The sequence below is a fragment of the Homo sapiens genome, chromosome 11, assembly GCF_000001405.40.
Source record: "Homo sapiens chromosome 11, GRCh38.p14 Primary Assembly".
NCBI lineage: Eukaryota > Metazoa > Chordata > Mammalia > Primates > Hominidae > Homo > Homo sapiens.
Genome location: NC_000011.10, coordinates 90,599,501 through 90,619,735, shown reverse-complemented (window position 1 = coordinate 90,619,735; position 20,235 = coordinate 90,599,501). Strand labels below are relative to the sequence as shown.

Below are 20,235 nucleotides of genomic sequence, written 5' to 3'. Positions count from 1 at the left end.
ATTTCTATTTTCTTTATCTCCTTTCCTCTTACATAGCATCACAAAATAGCTTCCTATTCCATTTTATTCAATTGTGTTCTAATTTGAAAAGCATCTAGACTTAATCAGAATTTTTCTTTAGTAGCTCTACCGCCTCCCTCATAGTTTCCTCATAGTAACTCACATTTTGTGGTGTTTAACAGTTTATAAAGTGGGTTTGCACGTTATTACCTTAGGTAGTAGATTATGTTATTATGTTATTTTCCACATTTTATACATAAAGAATATGATCTCTGAGAACTACCCTGTAATGTGAATATGATCTGTTGGTTATGTGGACTTTTGGGAAAATGATGGCAATCTTATTTCTGGTCAGTTTCATATCTTTCATTATCTTTGGTAATTTTTTTGTCAAGTCTGATATTGCTGATGCTTTTAAAAAATAATAATTTGTTTAATTAATTTGTAAATTAAATTTCCCCTTTTTTCACATTTAGCAATGTTTGCAGCATAATACCTTTCCCCCAGGCCTGAATATTTCTTTTGCTTTTCCTTGGTCTACATTCCTGAAACAATGCATATGTTTGCAGTACAGTGAAATGTCTGGCTCAGATAGCAAGACTTTTCTCTTATGCATATGGAAGCAATTGAATAAAAATACATCAAAAACTCCCTTTAGGTGAGAAACTCAAGATTCACACATTCATTCATAAATTCTAAACTATGGTTTTGGTCATTTGTTTTTGACTATTTATCTATAAAATCTAAAAGTTTGACAATGTTTGTGGGAAAACAGACAATTCTGTATGCTGTTGATAAAATTGTGAGTTGGATCAAATATTAGAAAGGAAAATTTGGTAATGTATATCAAAAGTTAAAATATTTTTTAATCAGCTATTACATCAACAACTTTTGAAAATTTATCCTATAACTATACTTACACACATGAGAAATAAGATATGCATACAGATTTTTTGTATAATTGTTTATGATGGCAATATATGAAACCAACCCCACTCAAATGCCAATGACAGGTGACTGGGTGAGTAAAATATGATGGCTAATAAAACACCAAAAGCATAATCCATGAAAAAAACTGATAAATTGGACTTCATTAAAATTAAAAACTTCTCTTCAGCAAAATATATGGTTAAGAGACTGAAAAGGAAACCTTACACTGACAAAATATTTGCAAAACAAATATATTTGGGCTAAAGGACTGGCATCCGAAATACATGAAAGACTCTTTTAAAAACAACAGGAAAATGATGATTTCTAAGGAAATCATCAGAATTATACACACAGATTTATTTGAAGAATGTTTACCATAATATTACTTAAATTTTTAAAAAATAAAATTATAAACCTATAAAACCAAGTTAAATACTTTAGTCTTATTTCATATCAACAAAAGGGAATATTATGCAGACATCAAGGTTATCTTGTATCAAGTAAAGCTACAATAAGACGCCACTAAATATCTATTAGAATAGCAAAAATCCAAGACACACAATATTAATTACTGGCAAGGATGCAGAGTAATAAGAACACTTGTTCATTACTAGTGGGAATGCGGAATGGTACAATCACTTTGGAAGACATTTTTATAATTTCTTATAAAGCTAGACATAATCTTACCATACAATCCAGCAATGAAGTCCTTAGATATTTATCCAACTTATTTGAAAATGTAAGTCAACCAAAAAGCTTTCCTATAAATATTTATAGCAGCTTTATTCATAATTGCCCCCAATTGAAAACAATCAGAATCCTTCAATAGGTAACTGGGTGAACACATTGTGGTACATTCTTACAACAGATAATTATTCAGCAATGAAAAAGAGTGAGCTGTCAAGCCACTGCAAAATTATACATGAATCATAAATACTTATAAGTAAAGTGATGTGAAAAAGCAAGATATTGTATTTCCTTTATAAGACAGTCTGGAAAAGGCAAAGTTATAGAATAATAAAAAGAACAGCAGTTGCCAGAAGTTGGGGTGTTTTCTAGACATTCAGTCTATGGGTGAAGTCAGGCAACTAAATAGATCCTAATGCATTATGAGTGCTCTTAGACAGAGTCAACAGAGAGATTTGTAAACCAAAGCATGGATCTTGACCTTGAATCTCTCACGGATATATAGAAACTTCTTGACTACCCTGCGAAACAAAACAAATTGTTTGAAAATCCTATAAAACATGATTCAGTGGACTTACTGAAAATTTGTTCATATGTCTCTCATGTTATATTTTTCATGCTTTCCTGTATCATCAAGCTACCACCAAAACCAGTCTATTTTATGATACTTCATCTAAGATACTCATTCCCTAGAGAAATAAAATTAGATACTTTCAAATTTATTTTCTCTGTTTTGAACCCAAAACTGTTATCGAATGTGGAGAACACATAAATGTGCGTGCGTGTGTGTGTGTGTGTCCGTGTGTGTGTGTGTATCTATCTATAAAGTCTTGGTCTCAGAACATGAGGTTGAGAATAAAAGAAAAATATATCTGCCTGGATAGGAAGAAACAAGAAGAAAAACCCCTCCACAACCAAAGCTAATGTAAAATTACACCGAATAAACTAGAACTTTGACACAGCATTATAAAATAGAATTTCAATGTAGAGCTTAAATTTATGTTTTCATTTCCTTACACAAATACAGTAATTGTAATATGTGATGTCTGTTTTATGTACTGAGTAGAAAATACCCATATAATATCAGTCTTCAAAGACAATTCGATTGATATTTCCAATTGTTAGGTATGTTACCATATTTAAAGATTTCTTGAGATATTCTTTCAGGATTTGAAATCTTCCAGAAATCATTTCATAGTTAACTAATTAATATTTTTTTATGCTTGCCTCTAAAGTATCTGAAAGCTTTGATCCAAATTTCTTGATACTTTTAGATACTATTGCCAGGCTTAAAAGCAAAAACAATATGGAGAGTTTATCAGCGATTGGTCACAGTTTTTTCTTGAAATCATTTGTGTCATGATTTTTTCTTATTGTGATTCAAATACTTGGACAAATAGAGAAATATATCCTGTGATTTTCAGTCTTTTCATCAACCTTCTCTTTGTTTCCTTGGAGAAAAATAAATTATAACATCACAATACCCCTTATCCCTTAAAACAATGATAGAAACCCTGTATTTAACCTACAATACACTAGTATGTAATTTTTGGCATGGTATTTAATTTATCTAAGTCTCAATTTCTTTGCCCATAAAATGGTGGATATTTTATAGGTTACTATATTAACCTATATAATAATGGATATTTTATAGGTTACTATATTACATAAGTAATACATCAAAATGCTGTGTCTGGCACATAGTAATAAACACTAAGTAAATACTGCCTTTTAAATTTATTATTATTATTATTATCATAATTATTTTTGGTTGGTGTGTCTATTATAAGTACTTTTTGGTAGTTTAGAGTAAAACATGTCATGCCATACTCAAATACCTAGGGTTTAAAATAAAGCAAAATGAATAAATTATTTATAAAGTATAGTAATGAAGAAGCAGCATGAACATGGAATTACACTTCACGATGTCTTTGTTTCTGCTGGAGAAGTAGCAATCATGTACCCTCTGCTAGGGTAGAATTACTGCCAACCAAATTATAGTTGGCAGAGAGTTGCAGCTGCATTCATCTACAACAGACGGAAGATGCCAAGTGTCAATGAAGAAAATAGACTTACCGTGGCTAACAATCCCAAGACTTTCTTTCTACTTTTCTTTAAATCTCATTTTTATATCTCACTTTTTAAAATTTATTAATATTCTTTATCTCATATATTTGTGAGATATATTCTTTATCTCATATATTTATTTGTAAGCTACATTTCTCTATCATTACCAGTTTTTCAGATTAAAGTTTTCCTTCTTTAGAAATGGTGCCATTATGAGGAGAGAAAAATATTTATTTAATTATTAATGAAATGGAGTATTATTTGGTTAATAAAACAGCATCCTCCAAGTAACTTTAACACTTAAATCACTCTCACAAGCATTCATTTTATGAATCTAATTTAGGGGAGACATCACAAATAGGCGTATAAATATATGCATTGCTTGTCTTATAAATAATGCTTATTTATCTTGATGAGTCTTTAAGAGTTTTGAATTGTGGGACAGTTTTATTTATTTATTTATTTATTTATCTTAAATGTGCATTCTAAGAGTACCTTGCATAATGCCTGACACATAAAAAGTTCCCAATAAAAAGGTTTTACTTAAGTGATTTCACAGATTTCCTCCATTTGTCTATGAAATTTATTCCAGATAATTATGTTATCATTACAGGCTTTAGACTCATCGGTGTTAGAAAACGCTCTGTTTCTTAAATAAAATAAAATCCAGAATAGCTAAATTAGTACAGGAAATCAGTTGAGAAAAATCTGTTAAAATTTGTCCTCGTGTTTCTTTAACTCTTTTTCAGGTTTTCTTGACCTTGGTATCATCATCAAAATCAGACTCAAAAGGCAAGGCTGCTCCCTCTTGCCCTCTCTGAACTTAACATGTAATAAAATAAATGCCGTTCAGATAATCTCCTTCAGGACAATTGAGACTGGCTGTATTTTTTTAAATTCAGTAAAATACTATGGATAACCAAATAAAAATAAATCCAAAACATATTAGTAATGAACACAATGTGCTTATAGATGGGAATTTTAAAAATTAACATTTCCTATCATTTTGTTTGAAATATTTCAAGTTCTAGTACATTCTTTTCATGAGCAAAAGTATTGTAACACCCTATTCTTAAAGTATCCTTTTAGAAATCATGTCTTTGTAAAACGCAGACCAATAAGTTCAAACACTCTCTATAAATAAGAACCACCCAACCACATCCAGAATCCTATCTTAGAGGCACACTTTTATCCATGAGATTGCCTCCTGGAAAAGCATTTTGCTTAGGTATTTCCATATGCACTTACAGTGAGGGTACAGATATTACTTAAGAGAACAATGATACATTAATGCAAAAAGTATAGAATTTTCAAAAAGATACACAAACACACACACATATATATATACACATACATGCACATACATGCACACACACACAGTAATAAAAGAATATCTTTTTTCTCCAGTAATCTGATAAAATACCTTTTTAAAACGAATGGCCACCTGCTGGTGATGCACCTCCCCTCTTTGCTTCAGTTATCTGAATCCTACTTTCAGGCCTCTGTCACTCACTGTTTGCATTTATCTCTTTCTCCCTCCGTTTATAATCTTGTCATTTGTCTATGCAAAATTTGGGGCTCCTCTAACTCATATGTGCCTGTCTTGGTCACCAGTTCCCATGGTCACACCCTAAACCACTATTTTTCAAACTACATGTTTTGGCCTTTAATGAGTCATGAAAATGGGCATATAATAATAAGCATATTAAAAACAGAATAGAATAGAAAATATTTAATATTTTCTAATGTAGTATGGATTAAAATTGTTTTCAAAAATTTTTTATTCAAATATATGTATGTTTATGTAGTATGTCTCAATGTAAAAATGTAAAATATGAGTGTTCCAAAAGCCTAATGGCAATTTCAAACTAAGACTTTTAGGATGTTCTCAATTTCTTTATTTTTATTTCTATTTTTAATTATTATGGGTACACAATAGTTGTATATATTTGTGAGACACATGTGATGTACGTGTACAAATGTCAAATCAAAATGGATTAAAGACTTAAATCTAAGACCTGACACTATGATAGTAGTAGAAGAAAACATTGGGGAAATGCTTGATAACATCGGTCTGGGCAAAGATTTTTTGAGTAAGACCTCAAAAGCACGGTCAAAGAAAGCAAACATGGACAAATGGGATTACATCAAGCTAAAAAGCTTCTGCATATCCAAGGAAACAATCAACACAGTAAAGAGACAACCCACAGAATGGGAGAAAATATTTGCAAACTATCCTGTTTCTAATATTGGATCACAAGCCAAAAAGTTTGTTAACTACTATCATAGACTTTGTTATTAATAACCACATCACCGTAAAACCATAACATAAGAAATCCTACTTTGTGACTACAAAATCCTATTGGTCCAAGTGATGCAATGTTAAATACCAGAATCTTCAGTCTTGCAAATTTTAACCATTATTTCTCCATGTGTCTCCACATTCTTTCTTACTTAGCTTAATTTCAATTACTATTGTTACAGACATTTACTTGCACACAGCTTCACTATGTTGGCATGCTCTCTGTCTTGCTTCTACTTACCTCACAAAACTTAAATTTTATATAATTCTAACTATCCACTTAGTCTTTGCCAGTCCTCAAACAGCTTAAAGTTTCTAAAGACAAATAACCATAATGAGTGATCAGTCTTGAGAGAAGAGAGACAGACCCTCTCATATTGTTTTATATTGTTTTATACACAGAAAAGGAAAGCGAAGCAAAACTAAAGGCAGGTAGCCTGGTGCCTAGGAACCAGACCTGAAACCAGGGAACCAGACCCGAAACCAGGCCTGGGCCTGCCTGACCTAAGCCTGGTAGTTAAAATTCGACCCCTGACCTAGCAACTGATGTTATATATAGATTATAGAAAGACATTGTGAAACTTCCCAGTCTGTTCTGTTTCACTCTGACCACTGGTGCATGCAGCCCCTGTCATGTACCCCCTGCTTGCTCAATTGATCACGACCCTCTCACACAGACCCCTGTAGAGTTGTGAGCCCTTAAAAGGGATAGGAATTGCTCACTTGGGGAGTTCGGCTCTTGAGACAGGAGTCTTGCCAATGCTCCCGGCCAAATAAACTCCTTCCTTCTTTAACTTGGTGTCTAAGGAGTTTTGTCTGCGGCTCATCCTGCTACAGTTCACTTCAAACACGGCTACAAACACCAAACATATATGTTTCTGTATATTCTTCTGGTCGGTCTACTCTTCCACTCATTTGGTTGTGTATTTTATACTTCCTTTTACCTTCTCTAACCTCTCATAATGCTTTCTTACACTCAAACTTCTTACTTCTCATAACAATATAATCTTCATATTTCACTAGAAAGTAGGTACAATAAGAATATAATTTCAAACCACTTCAACCACAACACATGTAAACCTATTTGTATTTATACCTATGTAATCTTTCTTCCTTCCATGGATAAAAGTTTGTGCTCCTTTTTGAGGTCAATTCTCTCCAAAAAAAAAAAAAAAAAAAAAAAAAAACTGGATCCCAGCACCCAGCACCTACAGGCTACCTAGGAAATTTGCTTCTGTTATTTATCCACTCTCCAGTTTTGACAGGTGCCAAATGTAGGAAATATTAAAAAACAAAAACACACACAAAAAATTATCAAATGCTGCAGAAAACTTGAAGTAGGTGAGGCCTGTTTGAGACTATTCAATTTGGCAACACAGAAATTATTGATGACAATTATTGGTGACCTTGGGGGAGGGAAAAAAGGATTCTGTAGTAAAAGATAATAGGAATAAAGTATTTTTAACTGTAGAATTTTTATAAAATGGAGGAAATTATCTAATTTTAATTAAATAAATTTCTTTATAAAGAGAGGGGATAAATAACAAAAACAAATTTGTTAAGTAGCCTGGACAAACACTTGATCAGGTCATGAAGGCTCTCCCCTCATGAATGGAATTAGTGACTTTATAACAAGGCCTGAGGGATTCTTTTTCTCCCCCCTTATTGCCTTGCTTTCCCGTGAAGACACAGCAACAAAACAGCACCTGTGAAGCAAACAGCAAGCCTTCCCCAGCCACCAAGTGTGCCAGCACCTTCATCTTGCAATTCCCTCAATTCCCTGTCTCTAAGACTGTGATGAATAAATGTCTATTATTTATAAATCAAATGTATTTTGTTATAGCAGTCTGGAACAGACTAAGACAGACTATGTATATTTTACAATGTTATAAAAATTAAATAAATTATTGTAAGACAATTAATAAAAATAAAAAGAGAAATTGGCCAGGCATGGGAGCTCACACCTGTACTTCCACCACTTTGGGAGGATAAAGAGGGTGGATCACCTGAGGTCGGAAGTTCAAGACCAGCCTGGCCAGCATGGCGAAATCCCATCTCTACTAAAAATACAAAAATTAGGCTGATGTGGTAGCATGTGCCTGTAGTTCCAGCTACTCGGGACACTGAGGCAGGAAAATCACTTGAACCTAGGAGGCAGGGGCGGCAGTGAGCCAAGATTGAGCCACTGCACTCCAGCCTGGGCAACGGAGCAAGACTCCTTCTCAAAAAAATAAAATAAAAATAAAAAATATATTAAAAAAAAGGGAAATTAAACAAATGAACATAATTTGTGTTCATTTGGTAGCATAATATATACACAGAGAAATATTCCAAGTGATCATTAAAAACAATTATTTGGCTGGGCATGATGGCTCATGCCTGTAATCCCAGTACTTTGGGAGGCTGAGGCGGGCGGATCACAAGGTCAGGAGTTCGAGACCAGCCTGGCCAACATAGTGAAATACCGTCTCCACTAAAAATACAAAAAATTAGCCAGGCATGTTGGTGGGTGCCTGTAATCCCAGCTACTCAGGAGGCTAAGGCAGGAGAATCACTTCAACCCAGGAGGCGGAGGTTGCAGTGAGCTGAGATCATGCCGCTACACTCCAGCCTGGGCAACAGAGCAATACTCCATCTCAAAAAAAAAAAAAAAAAAAAAAAAAAATATATATATATATATATATATAAAATTTAACTATATCTTCCTTAAGCACAAAGAGAAAAGCTAAAATATCTTAAACTGCTCTTGGCAATTATATCTATGGTGGGGTGATGTTTATACTTTTATTCTAAGACAATTATTTTGTTTGTGCATCCACATGCACACACATGCCCAGGTACACACGCACTGTGGAAATATCAGTGAAGTAATGACATTTATGTCTTTAAGAATTGAATGTTTTAGAGTGGTTAAAAAGAGATAAAGTAAAAAATTAATATATTGTGATAGTTAATGTTATGTTTCAATTAAACAGGATCAGAGAATGCCCAAGTTAAACATTATTTCTGGGTTTGTCTATGAGGATGTTTCTGGATGAGATTAGCATCTGAATAGGTGAACTCAGTAAAGTGGTTTGCTCTCCTCAGTGTAGCTGAGCATCATCCAATCAATGGCTCAAACGCCAAATCAAATAAACTCTCACTGGTCAAAGTCAGGACAATTTAAATATCAAATAGATTTAAATCCATAAGTTCATAAAGATTCAAGCAAACAAACAAATATATGCCTCATTGGTCACTTTCAGAGGACATTTAATAAAAGGAAAGATTGCAATACTTATCTGTACTCTTGTGTAATCAAAATGTTGATGAGAGAAAGAATCTCTTTACAGTAGTATTCCAGCCAAAACTGAAGAAGAAATTTGAATTTTCAAATTAGTGAATCATACAGTTATAATTAGTAACTAATAATTATAACTGTTACAAAAACAGAGAGAACAAGACATTGGTTATCACATGATGGTAATACATCACACAATCTCTATAGTAGCCTAGTCCCCTAAAAGCAAAAAAAAATCAATTAGTATTATCAATTTACAGGATATGTAGACATTAATTTCAAATAGAAAAAGAAAAGAAAAAAGAGAGAGAGAAGAGTATTCTCAAATCAAAAGAAACTTATCAGGCATATCAATAGATTACAATGTATAGATTTTCCTAGATTTTTATTCAAATACACATAAGCAAAAACACATTGTAAGTCATTCAGAGAAATACAAACACCAAATGAATTTTGATTTTGTTATTGTTAATTTAGTGAGATAATGATATTGCAATTAAAAAATTTAAGGAGTTCTTATACTTTAGAATATGTATTGAAGTATTTATAGATCAGTAAGGAGATATCTGGAATTTGCATCAAAGCAATTCAAAGGAAGAGACAAGGGGTATCTGGAACAAGCTTGGCTATGTTTTCAAGTTATGGAGGTGAATAGTGCATAAATCAGATTCATTGTATTGCCTTTTCAACAGTTGCATGTTTCATGCAAAAAATAAATACAAGAAAAGTTCAAAAGATAAACACAAGATTTCATGGTTAATTTTATCTCAAAACACACATTCAATCTGTCAGATAATTATTCTCCACTTTGCTTCCAAAATTATTCAGAATCTCATCATTTCTACCAAGGTTTATTACTGCCACCAGACCAAAGTTTCATTATCTATTTCCTTGAAACTTCCAGGCCCCCACCTTGCCTCCCTGCTTTCACTCTCACCTTTCTATAGGCTGTTCTCAAACCAAGAATTTAAAAATGTAAGGCAGGTTTGGTAGCCCTCTGCTCAAAATTCCCCAAGGGCCTCTCTTCATCACATTTGGAATAAGTTCCTTAACTTGGCTCTCAAGGCTCCTCCCCACACTACCTCTTCCACAGCATTTCCTACCACTCTGCTCACTCTCTCCACATTCTGGTTTTCAATCATTTGCAGCACACTATGATCTCTAGGCTTTGCCTTGCTTTTTTCTCTGCTCTTACACTCCTTCTCTCACTATTTGCTTGGCTTGCTCCCTTGTGTCTTTTAGTTCGTGGTTCAAATGTCACACCTTCAGAGACATCTGCCTGACTACCCTATGTAAAATAATACCACTTTGCAATCTCTAAGCACTTAAGCTGCTTAATTTTTTGTATCACATGTTGTCATGTATTTATTTGTGAACAAGAACTTTCTTTACCACTGGACTACTGGCATCTAGAGTATCATCTGACGCATAGGAATAATTAACAAATATTTAATTGATAGAGTGAATAAATAGATTTGTTTAACAGAATAATAGTTCATTAGTAAGAACTTGCTTAAGTCTTTATAAGGCATCCAGAAGAGTATTTGATATTTTGCATAATTATCTCATTTAATCTATATATCAACTCTATGAAGTAGGCACTATGATCATCTATTTTTATTAAGAAGAAAAAATAACTGACACTCGTGGAGTTTAAAAATACCTATAACCCCATGGGGGGGAAAAAAGATACAGCATACATTTAAACCTAAATGAGTGTAATTTCAAAGCATTTGGTCTTTTTACTATATGATTCTACCACATACAAAGCACATCAGCCAGGTTCAGGCTTTCTGAAAAAAAATACATCAAGCTTCTGTTACAACAAAGAACAAGTGATCAAATGGAACAAATAGGTATGATGTTACCCCATTAGATATTTATCTGTTTATTCACCACCATTGAAGTATTCTCTTTACAGCTGGTCTCTTTGGGAGCCTTAACTCTCTGTTTGATATGTTCTTTCTGTAAACCCACAAAAGAAACCAGCATTTACCTGATCCCAAATAATGAAAGTGCAGAAAAATCAATAATGGTAAAAGAATAGCTACCTTCCGATTATGTTTTCTAGCAACAACTGCAACAAAAAGGAAAAATACAAGGTTCACTAAGATGCCGCTATTTTGTACTAAACTGATATTATTAGGATGTTCTCTCTGTGAAAAATTGCCCTGTTTTTCCAGCATTAACTTGCAGTAAAAATAAAGCCAAAGTTCATATACGTTTGCCTTAGATCCTGTAAGATCTACTGGTGCAAGGAAAAGATTTGCAGTCCTGGGTTCCAGACCTGTATCTACCTTTTTGGATTTTCAAAGAAACACCATTTCAAAGCCTACTTAGCTACAGTGTATTATGAGAATAAAGTTAAATAAGAGGCTCAGGTAAAGTTCCAAGAACTAATTGGTAGTTATTACAGGACTTGACATATTTTATGTTGTTTAATTCTCACAAAAGTTCTCTTACAGGTATCTTAGAGGAAATCCAGATGACATACCTCCAGGCCTACCAAAGTTCTCAATAAATACTTAATATCCAAGTTCTAAAATTAATAATATCACACAATATAGAGTTTTTTTCTTAAGCTTATTGTTTTCAGATTCTACATAATTTCCTTCAAGAGTCGTAATTTCAAATATCATGAAGAGGTAGGCAAGACCACAGAGGTGGGTCTGGGTTAGACCTTTAGCAAGAATGACCAGTTAGGTAAGGTTTAAGCTTGTTTTCCTGTCATTTTACTATCTAAACAGTGTACAAGGAATGCAAATAATGTATATAAGGCCAAGAATACAAGCAAATGTACCATCATTTTTACTGTTCCCTAGTTCTAAACAGTGTGCCAATGGAGTTCAGTGGTTTTAGCCACTTACTTGGTCAGAGGAAGCCAGAACTTTGACTTAAATTTAAGACCTGAAACTGTGAAACTACTCGAAGAAAACAATGGGGAAAATCTCTAGGACATTTTTCTGGGCAAAAATTTCCTGAGTAAAATACCCTACAAGCACCTACAAGAACAGGCAATCAAAGCAAAAATGGATAAGTGGGATCACATCAAGTTAAAAAGTTTTTCTGCGCAGCAAAAGAAACAATCAACAAAGCAAACAGATAACCCACATAATGGAAGAAAATCCTTGCAGACTACCCATCTGACAAGGGTTTAATAACCAGAATATATAAGGAGCTCAAACTACTCTATAGGGAAAAAACCTAATAATCTGATTAAAAATGGACAAAAGATCTGAAAAGATTTCTCAAAGAAGACATACAAATGAAAAACAGGTATATGAAAATGTGCTTAACATCACTGATCATCACATAAATGAAAATCAAAACTACAATAAGATGTCATCTCATCCCAGTTAAAATGGCTTATAACCAAAAGACAGGCAGTAACTGGAGAGGATAGGGAGAAAAGAGAATCTTCATACACTGTTGGTGGGAATGTAAATTAGTACAATTACTATGGAGAAGAGTTTGGAGGCTCCTCAAAAAACTATAAATAGAGCTACCATATGACCCAGCAATCCCGCTGCTGGGTATATATCCAAAAAAGGAAATCAGTATGTTGAAGACATATCTCCATTCCTATGTGTGTTGCTGCATTCTTCACAATAGCCAAGATTTGGAAGCAGCCTATGTGTCTGTCAACTGATGAATGGATAAAGAAAATATGGTACATATATATAATGGAATACTATTCATCCATAAAGGATAATGAGATCCTGTCATTTGCAACAACATGGATGGAACTGGAAGTCATTATGTTAAGTGAAATAAGCCAGACACAGAAAGAAAAACATCACATATTCTCACTTATTTGCAGGATCTAAAAATCAAAACAATTAAACTCATGGAGATAGAGAGTAGAAAGATGGTAACCACAGTCTGAGAAGGGTAGCGCTGGGGTCGGGGATTGATGAGAATGGTTAATGGGTAAGAAAAGTTAGAAAGAATGAATAAGATCAAGTATTTGATAGCACAAGGTGATTATAGTAAAAATAAATTATTTGTACATTTAAAAATAACTAAAAGAGTATAACTGGATTGTTTGTAACACAAAGGATAAATGTTAGAAGAAATGGATATTCTATTTTCCATGATGTGATTATTGCACATTTCATTACTGTATCAAAATATCTCACAAACTCCATAAATACATATACCTACTATACCTACTATGTACCCACAAAAATTAAACATTAAAAAAGGCATTTGATTATCTTGTTTATATTCTATGCTCTGCAGGAAGAACTGCAATTTATTTTATCTCATTTTATTTTATTTCATTCTATTTGAGATGAAGGTCTTGATATGCTGCCCAGGCTAGCCTCAAACTGCTGGACTCAAGCAATCCTCCTGCCTCAACTCCTCACCTTCTCACCCCAAGTAGCTGGAATTAAAGGCATGCAATACCTTGCCCAGCTTGAGAACTTAATTTTACATAATACTTAGGTATGTGACTATCCAATATTTAGAAAAATCTCTATTAATACAATATCTCTAATAAACCAATATTTTCTTAAATGGTGAATTTTACTAACTTGCCCCTAGAGTTTGGTACTCAGATATGTATTGTTACATGGTATTAATATTACCCTAAATGAAGGCACTATTCATCACATATGTGGTAGATATGACACAACCAAGGTACAGAATCAAGACCCCAAAATATCCAAAAAATGTTGAATAATAAGCTAAAATATACAAGATGGTATTTGTGGGTACAAATATAATCTTGTTCCCTCAGGTACAGAAGCAAATTCTCACACAGAGAGGATGGCACTTATGTAGCATGATATAAATGTTGTCATCATCACTTTATCTTATTTCTTGAATAATTCTATCTACCTGGTACTGAATATGTGATTTATATTAGTTTGTGTACTATATGTGGTAGATCTGTTATGTTTATCTTACAGATTAGGAAATAGAAGCTAAGTGTATCTGCTGAAGTTTACACTTCTAGTAAGTTGGATCTAGGATTCTAATGCACATAGTTTTTTTCCCCAGGGCCTGCAATCTTACAGCCTATGGTAAATTAATGAGTTTTATGTATGTTACAGCTGCTATAAAAATGAATGACACCATAGGCTACATAAAAAGAAGTAGATGAATTGAGGAGACAACAGGTTCACAGTTTACTTTACAATAACCCAGGTAATTTGCCACGGAGCCAGGTTTGAACTAGGATTGCCACCATTCTAACCATGCTTTTAAACATTCTGTTATGCTGCCACAAATGTAATGCCACCTCCAACATGGCTAGAGTCAATTTAGTGTCTTTTCCTTATCACAAGATTCTTACATCAATCAGAGACTTTAGAGAAATAAGTTTATAGGATTCATTTAGAATTAATATTCTCACACAAGTAACCTTAATCTACCCTAGAGTGTATACTTTCTAAAGTATACTTTGCGCTTATTGAAGGTCTTCCCACCACAGAAGTGCACCAAAGTTTGAATACTATCCACTGAGAACCCCTGCCCCGTGTGAGAAATTTATTATCGGAGGATTTGTACTTATAAAAATGGCTTACTACTGTTATATCAAAAATGCATAATTCAGAGCATCTAGGCAAATTGTGCATTTTAAATTTTAGTTTGAAAGAATACTTAATAATAATAATAATATCGAAGAGCATTAACAGCTCTATTTGAAAAAAGCAGCTATCTTCAATTAAAAAATACATATATGAAGCATGCTATGTGCTTGTTGATATTATTCTTAAAAATAAGATCTAATTGCAAAAGCTTTGCTTCTAAATGCAAAAAAAATCATTCTGAAGTATTATTTCATTATCCCTAATAAAATACTGCATATTTAATACATGTAGTATCAAATGGGATTAGGTGAAGAAATGCTTCAGTGAAATCATTCCGAAGACAGTTTTTGTAAAAAGCCAAAGTACCAACATCTTGCATAACAGCACTGAGATCTAGATGTGCTTCATTATATACGAGAGAAGGAGCACAGTCAGTCAGGATGCTTAGAATTCCACAGCTTCTCCTTCACAATCTGTCTGTTATTATTGAGAAATGAAATAAAAAGATGCTATCTATAAATACAATGATAAAGAGATTCATAAGTGAAATATTTCGTATTATAGGTAGTAAAGATAAATGAAAACACTTCATTGGTCAGAGATTGTTCAAGGCCAAGAAATCTTGGGAGGAAACTTGTGGATACACACAAAGAAACTCTAAAATGTGAGTAAAAATATGAAGTATTCCTCATTAGATTGAAAAAAACAAAAACAAAATTATGTGTTGTATTAGTTTGCTTTCATGGTGCTGATAAAGACATACCCAAAACTGGAAACAAAAAGAGGTTTAATTGGACTTACAGTTCCACGTGTTTGGGGAGGCCTCAGAATCATGGCGGAGGCAAGAGGCACTTTTTACATGGCGGCAGCAAGAGAAATTTGAGGGAAAAGCAAAAGCGGAAATCCCTGATAAACCCATCAGATCTCATGAGGCTTATTCACTATCAAGAAAATACAGCCCCCATGATTCAATTACCTCCCCCTGGGTCCCTCCCACAACATGTGAGAAATCTGGAAGATACAATTCAAGTTGACATTTGGGTGGGGACACAGCTAAACCATATCATTCTGCCCCTGGCCCCTCCATATCTCAATTCTTGACTTATGTCCACCCACAGGCTCAACATCACATGGAAGCTGCCACGGCTTGGGGCTTCCACCCTCTGTAGCCACAGCCTGAGCTCTATATTGGCCCCTTTCAGCCATGGTTGGAGTGGCTGGGACACAGGGCACCAAGTCCCTAGGCTGCACACAGCTTGGGACCCTGGGCTCAGCCCACAAAACCACTTTTTCCTTCTGGGCTTCCAGGCCTGTGATGGGAGGGGCTGCTGTGAAGGTCTCTGACATGGCCTGGAGACATTTTCCTTATGGTCTTGAGCTTTAACATTAGGCTCATGATTACTTATGCAAATTTCTGCAGCTGGCATGAATTTCTCCTCAAATAAATGAGTTTTTCTTTTCTACTACTACATCAGGCTGCAAAGTTTCTGAACTTTTATGATCTGTTTCCCATTTAAAATGGGAGGCTTTTAACAGCACTCAAGTCACCTTTTGAATGCTTTGCTGCTTAGAAATTTCTTCCACCAGATACCCTAAATCATCTCTCTCAAGTTCAAAGTTCCACAAATCTCTAGGGCAGGGGCAAAATGCTGCCAGTCTCTTTGCTAAAACATAACGAGAGTCACCTTTGCTCCAGTTCCCAGCAAGTTCTTCATCTCCATCTGAGACCACCTCAGCCTGGACCTTATTGTTCATATCACTATCAGCATTTTTGACAAAGGCATTCAACAAGTCTCTAGGAGGTTCCAAACTTTCCCACATTTTCCTGTCTTCTTCTGAGCCCTCCAAACTATTCCAAACTCTGCCTATTACCCAGTTCCAAAGTCATTTCCACATTTTTGGGTATCTTTTCAGCAATGCCCCATGCTACTGGTACCAATTTACTGTTATTAGTTTGTTTCCACACTTCTGATAAAAACATATCAAAAACTGGGAATAAAAATAAGTTGTATTGGACTTACAGTTCCACATGACTGGGGAGGCCTCAGAATCATGGCAGGAGGCAAAAGGCACTTCTTACACGGTGGCAGCAAAAGAAATGAGAAAGACGCAAAAGGAGAAACCCCTGAAAAATCCATCAGATATTGTGAGACTTATTGACTATCACGAGAATAGCACAGGAAAAACCAGCCCCCATGATTCAATTACCTCCCTCTGGGTCCCTCCCACAACACATGGGAATTCTGGGAGATACACTTCAAGTTGAGATTTGGGTGGGGACACAGCCAAACCATATCATGTGTTAACAATGATTTGTTAACCAATTACAGCTTTTCCTGATAGTCATAATAATATGAGATTTTTAATAAAAAGATGAACACTTGAAAAAAATTTTAAACAATACCAAGTACAGAATCAAAAGTCAGAAGAATGAAGAAAATGCAAATGCTATGCTCACCATTATTCTTTCTGTGTGCTTTTTAGTTAAAAGAAAGGTAGATATATAGCCTTTGAGAATTAAAATTTAATATCTCAGAAAAATAACTGAAAATAACAGTAAAATTATAATTTACTGGCATGATTTATATTCTACCACCCCCAGTTAGTACTGTACAAATAACTATTTGTCCAGTTGTAAAATCAGAATTACATATTCCTTACAGTGTTGTGGGAGTTGAATTAGATAATGTATATAAGCATCTAGCATATAACAATCATATCACAATGAATGAAAGCTTTTGTGAAGCTATGGGATGCTTACAGGAAACTGCTAATATAATATTTCTAACAATAAAACTGAATTACAGGAATTGCATTAATAAACTTACTTTTTTTTTTAAGTTGCCTGTAGTAAAAGTCTCTGTTTGGGTATAGAATCCCATGAGTTTTAACACTCATAGATTCATGTAACCAATACCACTAACATAAGGCAGAATAATTCTAGCACCCCTAATGATTTCTTCATGATAGACTCAACTTCGAGCCCTAATCCCTGGAAACCACAAAAAGTTTCACTATCATTAAAGCTTTACCTTTATCAGTATATCAAGTGAATGGAATCATACAGTATATAACATTTTGAGTCTGTCATCTTTCACTTAGCATAAAACATTTGATATTTATCTAAGTTGTTGCATGTGTAGGAACAGTTTGTTCCTTCTTATTTCAGAGAATATTCCTTTATATGCATATGTCAAAATTTATCAAGTTAGTCATTAAGGGACATTTACATTGTTTCTAGTTTTTAGTGGTTACAATTAATGCTGTTATAAGCTTGTATGTACAGCAGGGTTTCTCAATGTCAGCATTATTGATAATTTGGGCTGGATAGCTCTTTGCTATGGGGAACAGTTTTGTGCACTACAGGATGTTTAGTAGGATCCCTGTCTTGTACACACCAGATGCCGGTAGCACCCTCCTCTCCAGATGGAAAAGCCAAAAATGTTTCCAGACAATCTCTCATTGGGTGAAAATTACCCCCAGATGTTCAGGTTTTCTGTGAACATATGTTTTGCATTCTCCAGAATAAATAGTTATAAATGTGATTATTGAGATATAAGAGAATTCTATTTTTAAGTTTGTAATTAACTTTCAAACTGTTTACTAGTGTCTGTAGCATTTGTATTTCTCTAGCAAAGCAATGCAGGAGCTATTCAGTTATCCTTCATTCTTATAGTCCTTGTTGTCAGAACTCTTTTTGTTTGTTTGTTTTTTTCTCTGCTATCCATATGTAACAAATGCCAATATTTTTATAGTAACCACTTGAATAAGTTTTTAATGGTGTCAAATTATGATATTAACTTGAATTTTCCTAGTGACTAATGAATTTGAATTTTTTTATGTGCTTATTTTACAACCAGATATTTTCTTTAATTAAGTGACTATTCAAATGTTTGACTAATTTCTGTTGGGTTGTTTGTTTTCCTAATGCTGATTTTTTTTTGTATTCTTTATTCTGGGCACAATTCCTTTTTCAAAATTATAATTTGTAAATATTTTCTACTACTTTTGCTTTGCTTTTTTTTTTTTTTTTTTTTTTTTTTTTTTTTTTTTTTTTTTTGAGACAGAACCTCACTCTATCACCCGGGCTGGGGTGTAGAGGTGCAATCTTGGCTCACTGCAACCTCCACCTCCCGGGTTCAAGGGATTCTCCAGCCTCAGCCTCCCAGGTAGCTGGTATTACAGGCATGTGCCACCACACCCAGCTAATTTTGTGTTTTTAGTAGAGACGGGGTTTCACTGTGTTGGCCAGACTGGTCTCGAACTCCTGACCTCAGGTGATCCACCAGCCTCGGCTTCCCAAAGTGCTGGGATTACAGGCATGAGCCACCATGCCCAGCCTACTTTTGATTTACTTCTTTCTGTATAAAGTCCTTTAGAGAACATTTTTTTTTATTTTGATAAAGTCTAATTTATCTTCTTTTTTATTTTTTGGGTAACGCTTTGATTTTGCATTTATGAACTATCTGCTTAACCAATGTCATAAAGAACTTTTTCTATATTTTCTTCAGTGTTTTACATTTACAGTTAAATCCATGAACCATTTAAAGTTAATTTTTTGCATATGATATTACAGGTTCATTATTTTTGTATGTGAACGTCCAACTGTTCCAGCACCATTTGTTGAAAACTTTGCTCTTCTCCATATAATTGTCTTTGCACATTTGTCAAAAACAGTTGGCCATATTTGAAGGTCTGTATACTGTTCAATAGGTTTACATGTTTTATTTTGTCAGTACTATACTGTCTTCATTACTGTAGCTTCATAATATGACTTAATATCACATAACTCCAACTTTATTGTAATTTAAACAATTGTTTTGACAATTCAAGTTTTTGAGATTTCCATATAAATTTTGGAATAAAGTTTATGTATCTATCAGGAATTCTGCGAAGATTTTGACTGGGATTCCATTAACTCCATACATCATTTTGGAGAGAAGTGATCTTACTGTATCTTTCAGTTTTTAACAAAGTAAAACTATTATCCATTTATTTACATCCTCTCTGGTTTCTGTCATCAGTGTTTATAGATTTCACCATATATATTTTGCAAATATTTTGCTAAATCAGTACCTAAATATTTTATTAGGATGGGAAGCATATTGTAAAATGTAGTCTTTTTTTTTTCTTTCTAAGTTTCGGTTTCTAATTCTTAATTTTGGTGCATGATTGATTTTTTTTTGGCCTTTCTAAACTTACTTATGATCTCTTAAAGCTATTTAGTGTATTCACTGGTGTATTTTACTTATAAAATCATTGTATTTGTAAATTAGGGCAGTTTATTTCCCTTAACAATTAGAATACATTTATTTATTTTTTACTTTAGTGTACTTTCTAGAGCTTGCAGCACAATAATAAATAGGAGAGATCAAGAGTAGTCATATGTACCTGGATTGCAGGGAAAGTGCTCAGTCTTTCACTGCATG

At 33.9% G+C, this 20,235-nt stretch overlaps 1 long non-coding RNA gene across 1 annotated transcript in view; it reads right to left on the bottom strand.

The window, feature by feature from the left end:
- DISC1FP1 (DISC1 fusion partner 1) overlaps positions 1-20,235 on the bottom strand; it is a 663,821-nt gene that overhangs the window by 295,317 nt on the left and 348,269 nt on the right. Inside the window, exon 3 of the long non-coding RNA NR_104190.1 lies at positions 16,828-16,931. This is a non-coding gene — a long non-coding RNA (DISC1 fusion partner 1). The remainder of the gene's footprint in view (positions 1-16,827; positions 16,932-20,235) is intronic.